Genomic DNA, 12,244 nt, shown 5'->3' with positions numbered 1-12,244 from the left:
GAAATGTGCAAGCTGTTTGCACAGAAGAGAGGACACAGCCTCTACCCTCAAGGTGCCGCCTGTCTGCTCAAGGTTGCTCAACCCCTTTAAGACCATCTACAGAGCAACTCACTAGTGAATGTAAATGTATAATAGCAAAGAGCACAGAGAAGAGAGGATGAGGGGGCATGAAGTTAAAAGGAGTGCTCAGAATGCAGTAGCACCCTTCAGGGAGAGTTTCTAGACATGGCAACAACTAGAATTTACAAAAATTAAAAATAACTTTTCTTGGTACAAATGCAAACACACCCATGACAAACAAACCAGAAAATACAGACAAGCAAAGAAAGGAAATAAAAAAATCCCCACCTACAATCTCACCCACCCAAAGACAACTTCTGTCCACACCCTCAGCACCTTGACAATCAGAATTTGCAGGAGGGAATGTGCAGAGCTGGAGCACATGTTTTGTGTGTGTGTGTGTGTGTGTGGGCGCGTGCATGCATCTGTGTGTCTGTGACTATCTGTGGCTGGAAAGGAGAGGGCTGGCAGTCTTGCATTTTGGTTTATGCTTGGGAGTAAGTGATAATAAATTCATTTGATGGGATCAGAAAGAATAGAATTGAAGAAGAGGAGGACTAATAGAAAATCCTCTCGGAATAGGGAGAAATTTGAAGCAGGCAGTAGTACCAGGGAGTTTAGCTGAATAGTGAGACAAAACAATCACAATAGTCTGGGTGCAGTGGCTCATGCCTGTAATCCCAGCACTTTGGGAGGCCAAGGCAGGCAGATCACTTGAGGCCAGGAGTTCAAGACCAGCCTGGGCAACATGGTGAAACCCCATCTCTACTAAAAATACAACAATTAGCTGGGTGTGGTGGCTGGTTCCTGTAATCCCAGCTACTCAGGAGTCTGAGTCAGGAGAATCACTTGAACCTGGGAGGAGGAGGTTGCAGTGACCCAAAATCCTACCACTGCACTCCAGCCTGAGTGACAGAGTGACTCTATCTCAAAAAAGTAAAATAAAATAAAATAATCATAATAGCAATAACAGTTAACCTTTTTGAGTGCTTACCATATATAAGACATTGTGCTAAGTACTTTGCTTCCCATCTTTCCATTTAATCCTCACAACTACTCTTTCCCTATTTTACAGAGGGTAAGAGCCTTGCCCAAACTCACATATTAAGTGGAAACACACTGATGTTTCTTACAGTCTGCTCTATAGGCTATCTGCATCAGAATGCTCTAAGCTGTTTGTTACAAATGCAGTCTTTGGTTCTAACCTGAAGTGTCTGATTCAGCAAGTCTAGGTGTGGGCAAGAACATTTGGTCCTAACCTTGTTATAGGACCAACAAGTTTGTGTGCCTGCTGCACAGTAACAGACCAGTACACTAAGACAGCAGGGTTTGCAGCAGAGAAAGAGTTTGATGCTCACAGGGCATAGAGCAAGGAGGTGGGAAGGAGACTCTCAAATACATCTCTCCAAGCAGTTTTGAGGTGGGACATTTTTTTAAATTTTTTTAAATTTTTTTTTGAGATGGAGTTTTGCTCTTGTTGCCCAGGCAATCGTGCAATGGCACTATCTCGGCTCCCTACAACCTCCACCTCCTGGGTTCAAGTGATTCTCCTGCCTCAGCCTCCCGAGTAGCTGGGATTAGAGGCATGCGCCACCACACCCAGCTAATTTTGTATTTTTAGTAGAGATGGGGTTTTTCTATGTTGGTCAGGTTGGTCTCGAATTCCTGACCTCAGGTGATCTGCCCATCTTGGCCTCCCAAAGTGCTGGGATTACAGGTATGAACCACCGCGCCCAGCCTGAGGTGGGATCTTTAAGGAGATTGTGAAGGACAAGGGGCTGGAAAATTAGGGTCATAGATTGGTCAGGATACAGGAGATGAAATCATCAGGAGGTGGAAATGGCATTCTTTAGTGAGTCAGCTCCCATGGGGTCCTTCAGATTAGCTGATATCAGTAGTCACACTGGTATGCAAGACCTGAAAGAATATCTCAAATGGAAAACATAATGTTTCATAATGCTTAAGGTGTTATCTCTTTAGCTGTTTAGGGGACCTATAGTCTAGGGTCCACGTGATTCTAAGACAATAGGCAAACAACTGTGTGGAAGCAGGTCAGGCACAAGCTGACCTAATGACTAATGCTGAGTGTGCTGCAAGCTTAGCTTGTTTTCATTTCTCCCCTCCCTTCTTCCCTGATTAATTTTATAAAGTTTGTAGGGATGGTTTCAATCTATTTCGGCAAGTCTAGGTGGGGGCAAAGGCATTTGTAACTTTATTTTTTTTTTTTTTTTATTTTTTGAGACAGAGTTTCACTCTTGTTGCCCAGGCTGGGGTGCAATGGTGCAATCTCAGCTCACTACAACCTCCACCTCCTGGGTTCAAGCGATTCTCCTGCCTTCAGCCTCCCGAGTAGCTGGGATTACAGACATGTGCCACCACGTCCAGCTAATTTTTTGTGTTTAGTAGAAACAGGGTTTCACCATGTTGGCCAGGCTGGTCTCGAACACCTTACCTCAGGTGATCCACCTGCCTCAGCCTCCCAAAGTGCTGGGATTACAAGCGTGAGCCACCATGCCCAGCTGGCATTTGTAACTTTAATAGCTCTCCAGTGTTGTTTTGTCCATCCAAGTTTGAGGGCCACTGATCTTGGATGATGGAAGGGCGAACTTGCATAAGGAGTCATCAGAGGTCAGGAGGTGATACACCTCTGGCCACAGGCCCTTGGCCTAGACTTTTCTGACCGTAATCATCCTGAACTTTGACGCTTTAGCTTCCACAGGCCCTTTTGCAGTTGGGGGACTTGCCTCTGGGTGGAGATCGCTTGGTGCCTCTTGCACTTGGCTCTCTCACAACTGCTCTTAGATGCTTGAACACGAGAGAGTAATTAAATAGGGTCACTAGTGCTCGGTCAGCAGCTAGTCAGGCGTGCCCCTCACTGGCAACAGTGAGGCCAGTAGGGGCAGCTGCAAGCCCTGGGGTCTGGAAGGAAACTGGAACTGACAATCTGAGATGGGCGTGGGGATGGAATCTGGATGGACTGGAGTAAAACCTGGTTTGGGCTGAGAGTCCAAATCATGGAGTCAAAGGAGCGACCAGGAACAAGGTCAAGGATGAGAAACTTGGAGGTGGGGATCACGAAGTAAACAGAGCTGCTTTTGGGGTAACTTTGGTACTTTTCAACTAGATCATATCCCAGTCTGTCTCCGAAGTCCCAAGTATTTTTTTTTTTCTTTTTTTGAGATGGAGTCTCGCTCTGTCGCCAGGCTAGAGTGCAGTGGTGCAATCTCAGCTCACTGCAATCTCCGCCTCCCGGTTCAAGTGACTCCCCTGCCTTTGGGACTACAGGCGCATGCCACCATGCCTGGCTTATTTTTTTTCGTATTTTAGTAGAGACAGGTTTTCACTATGTTGACCAGGATGGTCTTGATCTGCTGACCTCATGATCGGCCTGCCTTGGCTTCCCAAAGTGCTGGGATTACAGGCGTGAGCCACCGCGCCCAGCCAAGTCCCAAGTGTTTTATCAGCACTTTTTCCATGGTGGGCAGCTCCCCTCACTATCTCCACTGCCCCACTCCACTGAAGACCATGTAGCCAGCCTGTACCTAGTGGAGGGCCAGGGACAAGATCACTGCACTAGAATCCAGGCTATCATCTTAGTTGTGGCTCTGATTCTTCCTTCTAAAACGGCAGGTCATCTAACCTTGCTGACTCACAGTTTTCATACCTGTGAAATGGGTATGGTCAAAGAATCTCATAAAGCTGATGAAATAATGTATTCTGAATTATAAAGTGCTATACACATGTAATGACCTGCAGCATGGTTGAGGATTTTAAGGCAGCCTCAGAATATATGATTGATTAGTTATTAAACCAATCAAAACAATGGGAGACAAAAGACCCCATACTTGTTTACTTGAAGATTATCTCCAGGCTGAAATGTTTTGGTCAGAAAGTCACAAATGAGCATGCTCAGAAGGTGCCTGTGAACTGGAAAATGCCCAGGGCTTCTGAGTAACCCACAGTCCCATTCCCCTTAACAAATGCTGTCGGGATGCCGATGAAAAACTGAGCAAGAGCCCAGCTCAAGATCTGAGGTCTGGGGACTCTGCACACCCTTCATTGTCCTTGGGTTAATCATCTGACAGCCCAACATCCAGGAGACAGCAGGCATCTGCAGGAAGGGCAAGGCGTGCTGGCCCCACAAGTGGCAAGAAGGACAGGTAAATCATTCAAAAGCACCACATGAGGCAACCAGGATCAAGGGGCAGCACCCAGAGATCAGGGTGATAAGGGAGGGCTGAGAGAGATAAGGAGCCTTGGTTGTCCCTCCTTATAGCTTCAGGTCACCTTAGCCAAGTCTCCTGGCTTCTCTTATCCTCTGGGCCCTTAACTGTAAGAGTAGGGAGTTGGTCTCAATGATTTCAAAGGTCTTTTCAGCTCTGGGTGGGAAGATACTATCTAAATCCAAGCTGCATGAACATCTGCTGTTCTTGTTTACCTCTGAGCCAAGTCCAGAAGCCCAGGAGTCCCAGTGCCACCTGCAGGGCTGTGGCAGATACAAGCTGCAGGGGACCACCAGGGCTGAATGGAGGGTGAGCTCCACGGAGGAGGCTGGGGTGGGCTGCCAGGGCCTCCTTCCTGCAGAGCAACTCAAAGATCTTTCCCGCATGTTCTTATTTGAAACTTCCCACTCTCTGGTGAGATGAGGAGGTATCGTAGCCCTCCACGTGTGACCACAAGGTACAGCGAGAAGGCTTCTGGAAATGAAAAACTAAGTTTAAGGACACCTCAGGACTTGAGATAGGAAAGAGGCATCCCTGTCACAAGGCTCTCAGGCTGCCAGGCAGGTTTTGCAAGTTTGCAAGAAAGCTTCCCCAGCACTGCTCAGCTCCCACCTTCTTTCTCCCTGTCCCACTCTCATTGGCTGGCTGGCTCGCTGCCACTCAGCCTGGAGTCAGCCCTCCTATTGTGCTCCTCTGTCACAGTGCTCCGCTGAGGCACCTGTGACAAGATAATTAAGATATTAATTTGTTTACTGTGTTTTTCCATTGCCGTCTTTTCCCAAGCAGGTACTACAAGTCAGCTTTTTTGGTTTTTCTTGCCTTACGAATCCTTGCAGGACAGAAAGCAGAGCTGTTTGAAGATAACAGATCTTCATGCCTTGGGTAAAAGTCCTGGCTCCTGATGAGATGATGCAGATACCCAGAGGGAGATAGGCGGGAGGGGGACAGGGAGAGGGGAGCCTTGAAGGACAAGGAAAGACAGAGGAGAGTGCTCAGAGACCAGAAAGATAGAAACCAAAACAAAACAGAAAACCTGTCTCACTCTGAGAATGGAGCCCTTTCCAGAGCCCCAGGAGACATCCAGATCTCGGGGAAATTTTAGGCCTTGGGCATTGAGTCTCCAGTCTCACCAAAGATTTCCTGGGCCCCATGTATGACTCAGCAACAGCAAAATCAACAAACCAGAAGGGATGTGAGGCATCAAAGGAAAACTTAGGGCAGATCACCGGCTGATGACTGGTTGGGAGGCCCCCACACTTTTGCCCAGGTAGGCACAATATTTCAGGGGAGAGATTGCACTTCCAGAATGACAGATTAATAATCTGCCCAATGAACAGGACTGGGGGCTCAAGGTTAGATTCATTTTGATTTAAAAAACGGAGGCTGGGCGCAGCGGCTCATGCGTGTAAGCCCAGCACTTTGGGAGGCCATGGCGGGTGGATCACCTGAGGTCAGGAGTTGGACACCAGCCTGGCCAACATGGCAAAACACTGTCACTACTAAAAATACAAAAAAAAGCCAGGTGTGGTGGTGCACATCTATACTCCCAGGTACTCAGGAGGCTGAGGCAGGAGAATTTCTTTTTTTTTTTTCTTTTTCTTTTTTTTTTTTTTTTTTTTTTTTGAGACACAGTATCGTTCTGTCGCCCAGGCTGGAGTGCAGTGGCACGATCTTGGCTCACTGCAACCTCCGCCTCCTGGGTTCACGCCATTCTCCTGCCTCAGCCTCCCGAGTAGCTGGGATTACAGGCACCCCCACGGCCAGCTAATCTTTTTGTATTTTTAGTAGACATGGGGTTTCACTATATTGCCCAGGCTGGTCTTGAAATCCTGACCTTGTGATCCACCCACCTTGACCTCCCAAAGTGTTGGGATTACAGGCATGAGCCACTGTGCCTGGCGAGGCAGGAGAATTTCTTGAACCTGGGAGGCAGAGGTTGCAGTGAGCCGAGATTGTGACATTGCACTCCAGCCTGGGTGACAGAGCAAGACTCTGTCTCAATACATAAATAAATAACAAAACAGAAATACAAACAAAAGACAGAGAAATCCAATTTTCCTACCTCAGCTGGGTTGTAGAGTCTCCCCTGACATGCAGAGAAGAATGAATGACCCCTTTGTCCTGGTCCCCCCAGCCTGTGAAGATACCAGTTACACCTCCTTAGTACCCAAATCTTAGCTCTAAGCTCCTACCAGTTAATGCAGGAAATCTGTCCCATACTCTCTGTTGGTTAGGATGCCTTAGCCATAAGTAATAGAAAACACAGATTCAAACATGTAAGGAAATGTATTATCTCATATAATAGTTAGTCTAGAAGTAGTGGGTTCCAGGTGTGGTACGATGAGTGGCTCAAGGTGTCCTCAAGGAGCCAAGCAGCCTCCATTTCTCTGCTTTTCTCTCCGCAGGACATTGGCTTTTTCCTTCAGCTGGCTCCCTTTGTGGTAATACGACGTCTGCACCAAACACAATAACACGCAGAAAAAGAAAGCTTTCGTGTTTTTTCAGAAGCATGGAAGCTTTTACCAGCAGTCTCCTGTAGAATCTTCTTTTTGTACCATTAGCCAGAATTGGATACATGCCCATTCTTTAGCTAGTCCCTCCCAAGGGGAATGGAATTACCATGGTTGATGTGAAGGGAAGCTAAAGAGTCAACCTCAAAGAACACTTCAAAATACTTCCATCTCCCAAATACAGCCTTGCTCACTGTGAGTTCACAGACACCTTCTCGCCCCATGGCTGAGTTAGGTTCCTTCTTCATTTATGTTGAATTCCCTCTTTTGCGTCCTTGTATCCCTTTCTTATAACCTGAAAGGCTCTCATGCTTATCAGTTTATGAATCACTAATGTGAATGCAGCTCAAGATTTTTTTTCCCAGGTCCATCTCACGGTGGGTCCAGTGGATCCCCAAAGACATCCTGTGATTATTTCCCCAGTTCCAGAATGCATAATTGAAATGGATACACTCAGCAGCTGACAGATCCCCACATTGGTTCCCTGACTTGTGGAGGAAGGGCTATTCTGGTGGGAAAGGCCAAGTGGAAGACACTAGAACTGCCTCTACCTAGGAAAAGAGTAAGCCAAAAGCAATACTTAATTCCTGGAGGGACTGCAGAGAGTAGGGCCATCATCAAGGAGGCAGGGGTGGCAATTCCCACCACATTCTTATTCCACATGCCCATTTGGCCTGTGCAAAAGACAGATGGAGAATGACAGTGGATTACTATGAACTTAACCAGGTGATGATTCCCACTGCAGCTGCTGTACCAGATGTGGTTGTATTGCTGTTGTGGTTTTATTTCGGATGTGGTTTCATTTAATGAGACTTCTAGGGGTCCAGTGGTATGGGGCATGTCAAGATATCTCTTCTAAGGTGAAGGACACCTTGTAGCATCTGGCCCCTCCTACAACCAAAAAAGAGGTGCAATGCCTAGTAGGCCTCTTTGGATTTTGGAGGCAACATGTTCCTCATTTGGGTGTGTAACTCTGCCCCATTTACCAAGTGACTTGAAAAGCTGCTGGTTTTGAGTGGAGTCTAGACAAGGAGAAGGCTCTGTAACAGGTCCAGGCTGCTATGCAAGCTGCTCTGTCACTTGGGCCATATGACCCATCAGATCCAATGGTGCTTGAGGTATCAGTGACAGATAGGGATCTGTCTGGAGCCTTTGGCAGGCCCTCATGGGTGAATCACAGTGGAGGCCTTCAGGATTTTGGAGCAAGTTCCTGCCATCATTCACAAATAACTACACTCCTTTTGAGACAGCTCTTGGTCTGCTACTGGGCCTCAGTAGAGACTGAATGTTTGACCATGGGCCACCAAGTTACCATGTGACCTGAGCTGCCTATCATGAACTGGGTGCTATCTGACCCACTAAGCCATGAAGTTGGATGTGCACAGCAGTACTCCATCATCAAATGGAAATGGTATATAGGTGGTCAGGCTCAAGCAAGTCCTGAAGAACAAGTAAATTACATGAGGAAGTGGCCCAAATGCCCATAATTCCTACTTCTGCTTCACTGCCTCCTCTCTCCCAGCCTGCACCTATGACCTTGTTGGGAATACCCAATGATCAGTTCACAGAAGAAGAGATCAGGCCTGGTAATAGTTCTGCACAATGTGCAGGCACCACCCAAAAGTGGACAGCTGCATCATAACAGCCCCTTTCTGGGACATCCCTAAAGCAGTAGTCCCCAATCATTTTAGCAGCAGGGACCAGTTTTGTGAAAGACAATTTTTCCATGGAAGGACGAAGGTAGGGGTGGAGGGATGGTTTCGGGATGAAACTGTTCCACCTCAGATCATCAGGCATTAGACTCTCATAAGGAGCACACAACCTAGATCCCTCGCCTACACAGTTCACAATAGGGTTCATGCTCCTATGAGAATCTAATGCCACTGCTGATTTGACAAGAGGTGGACCTCACCCGCCACTCACCTCCTGCTGTGCTGCCCGGTTCCGAACAGGCCACGGACCAGAACCATTGGTTGGGTCTGCAACATGATCATCCTTCAGTTCCCACTGCTCCAGCAAAGCTCAGTGGGCACCAGGGACCCAGGAGGCTGCTGCCTCACGTGGGCCACCTCTAGCACTACAACCCAGGCAGGAGCATCCCAGAGCAAAACAGGCACCTGCAATTGGGGGTCCTCAAGACAGGGGCTCTCCAGGGTCCCAGGGGCAAAGGAGCAGGATCTGCAGCCTTCAAGGGCAATAAGAGAGATCTTAGAAGTCTCCTGTGTCTCCTCTTTGCTTCTACCTCTTGGAGTGGGCAGTTCACTTGGAGTATGCAGTCATCTCAGCCAGGGCAGCGATCTCTTCCCTCTTCCATTAGGAAGAATTCCCTTTACCACTGTCCTTAGGACAGAATTTTGGGCAGAGCACTTGGTTGCACAATGTATTTGGAAGGAGAAATGGCCAGACATGTGGTTATATACTGATTCATAGTAGCCAGTGGTTTCCTGGATGGCCTCAGACTTGTAAGGAACATAATTGCAAAAGTGATGACAAATAAATTTGGGGAAGAGTATGTGGATAGACCTATCTGATTGGGCAAAAGATGTGAAGATATTTGTTTCCCATGTGAATGCTCACCAAACAGTGACCTCAGCAGAGGAGGATTTTATTTTTATTTATTTATTTATTTATTTTTGAGATGGATTTTCGCTCTTGCTGCCCATGCTGGACTGCAATGGCGCGGTCTCAGCTCACTGCAACCTCCACCTCCCGGGTTCAAGCAATTCTTCTGCCTCAGCCTCTCAAATAGCTGGGACTACAGGCATGAACAACCACACCCAGCTAATTTTGTATTTTTTTTTTTTAGTAGAGACAGGGTTTCTCCATGTTGGTCAGGCTGGTCTCAAACTCCCGACCTCAGGTGATCCACCCGCCTCAGCCTCCCAAAGTGCTGGGATTACAGGTGTGAGCCACTGCGCCTGGCCCCTTTCATTTATTTATTTTTCTGAGACAGGGTGTCACTCCGATTGCCCAGGCTGGAGTGCAGTGGCATGATTTTGGTTTAGGTTTACTGCAGCCTCGACTTCCCCAGGCTCAGGTGATTCTCCCATCTCAGCCTCCTGAGTAGCTGGGATGACAGGCACACACCACCACACCCGGCTAATTTTTTTTGTATTTTCAGTAGAGACAGGGTTTCACCATGTTGCCCAGCTGGACTCAAAACTCCTGGCCTCAAGCAATCCACCCACCTTGACCTCCCAAAATGCTGGAATTACAGGTGTGAGCTGCTGCACCCTGCCACAGAGGAGGATTTTAATAATCAAATAGATAGGATGACTAATTCTATGGACACCAGTCAGCCTCTTTCCACAATCATCCCATCATCACCCAATGGGCTCATGGATAAAATGGCCATGGTGGCAGAGATGAAGGTTATGCATAGGCTCAACAACATGGACTGCACTTACCAAGGCTGATTTGGCTACAGCCACCACTGAGTGTTCAATTTGCCAGCATCAGAGACCGACACTGAGTCCCTGATATGCCACTGTTCCTCCAGCTAAACAAACAGCTACCCGGAGGCAGGCTGATTACATTGGATGGCTTCCATTATGGAAAGGGCAGCATTTTGTTCTTATTGGAATAGACACTTTGAATATGGATTTGCCTTCCCTGCATGCAATGCTTCTGCCAAAACTACTATCCGCAGACTTATGGAATGTCTTATCCTCCGTCATAGTATTACACACAGCATTGCTTTCAATCAGGGAGCTCACTTCACAGCAAAAGAAGTGCAGCAGTGGGCCCATGCTCATGAAATTCACTGATCTTACCGTGTTCCACACCATCCTGAAGCAGCTGGTTTGAAAGTACAATGGAATGGCCTTTTGAAGACTCAGTTACAGTGCCAGCTCAGCGGCAATACTTTGTAGGTCTGCAGCAAGGTTATCCAGAAGGCTGTATATATGCTCTGAACCAGAGTCCAATGTATGGTGTTCTTCTTCCCATAGCCAAGATTCACAGCTCCAGGAATCATAGAGTAGAAACACCCACTATTATCACTAGTGCCCCACTAGCAAAATTTTTGCTTCCTATTCTCATGACCTTATGCTCTGCTGGCTTAGTGGTCTTAGTTCTGAAGGGAGGAATGTTTCCACCAGGAGACACAACAATGATTCTATTGAACTGGAAGTTGAGACTGCCACCTGGCCACTTTGGACTCCTTATGCCTCCAAATCAACAGGCAAAGAAGGGAGTTACTGTGCCGACTGGCATAATTAATCCTGACTACCTAGGGGAAATTGGACTGCTACTCCACAGTGGAGAAAAGGAAGAGTTTGTCTGGAACACAAGTGATCCCTTAAAGCATGTCCTGTGATTAAGGTCAATGGAAAACTACAACAATCCAATCCGGGCAGGACTATGACTGGCTCAGACCCTTCAGGAATGAAGGTTTGGGTCACTTCAAAGGTAAAGAACCATGCCATCTGAGGTGCTTGCTGAAGGCAAAGGGAATACCTAATGGATAGTGAAAGAAGCTACAACTATGTGACTGGTTACAGAAATAAGGACTGTAATTTTTAAAAATTTATTTATATATTTTATTTATTTATTTATTTATTTATTTATTTATTTATTTATTTATTTATGTGAGATGGAGTCTTGCTCTGTTGCCCAGGTTGGAGTACAGTGGCACCATTTCGGCTCACTACAACCTTCATCTCCCAGGTTCAAGTGATTCTTCTGCCTCAGCCCTCCAAATAGCTAGGACTAGAGGCGTGTACCACCACGCCCCGCTAATTTTTGTATTTTTAGTAGAGATGGGGTTTCACCATGTTGGCAAGGCTGGTCTTGAACTCCTGACCTCAGATGACCCACCCACCTCAGCCTTCCAAAGTGCTGGAATTACTGGCATGAACCACCACACCTGGTTAATTTGTGTATTTTTAGTAGACATGGGGTTTCACCATGTTGGTCAGGCTGGTCTCGAACTCCTAATCTGACCACCCGCCTCAGTGTCCCAAAGTATTGGGATTACAGGTGTGAACCACCACACCTGGGTAATTTTTGTATTTTTAGTAGAGATGGAGTTTCACCATGTTGGCCAGGCTGGTCTCAAACTCCTGACCTCAGGTGATCCACCTGCCTCGGCCTCTCAAAGTGCTGGGATTACAGGTGTGAGCCACCGTGCCTGGCCAGAGGGCTGTAATTGTCATGAGCATTTCCTCTTTATTTTGTTATTAATATGTTTGTGAGTGTATATTTGTGTGTATAAATCTATCCACATATACGCTAAGCAAATATCTTTGTTTTCTTCTCTACTCTTTGTAGAGAAATATCTTTGTTTTCTTCTCTTTGAAACCTGTCTCTACTAAAATACAAAAAAATTATCTGGGTGTGGGTGGTGTGCACCTGTAATCCCAACTACTCAGGAGGCTGAGGTAGGAGAATCACTTGAACCCAGGAGGCAGAGGTTGCAGTGAGCTGAGATCACGCCACTGCACTCCAGCC

At 47.0% G+C, this 12,244-nt stretch overlaps 1 annotated feature.

Annotated features, from left to right (window-relative positions):
* Nucleotides 4,621–5,122: an enhancer, noted in NCBI's record as "H3K4me1 hESC enhancer chr14:65722191-65722692 (GRCh37/hg19 assembly coordinates)". NCBI's record gives its function as "activates a minimal SCP1, AML or CMV promoter by ChIP-STARR-seq in naive H9 embryonic stem cells {active_cell/tissue: H9 hESC(naive)}" and the evidence as "EXISTENCE:reporter gene assay evidence [ECO:0000049][PMID:30033119]".

This window comes from Homo sapiens, chromosome 14 (genome assembly GCF_000001405.40).
Source record: "Homo sapiens chromosome 14, GRCh38.p14 Primary Assembly".
Taxonomy (NCBI): domain Eukaryota; kingdom Metazoa; phylum Chordata; class Mammalia; order Primates; family Hominidae; genus Homo; species Homo sapiens.
Note: the sequence above shows the minus strand (reverse complement) of the source record. Positions and strands in the feature narration are given on the sequence as shown.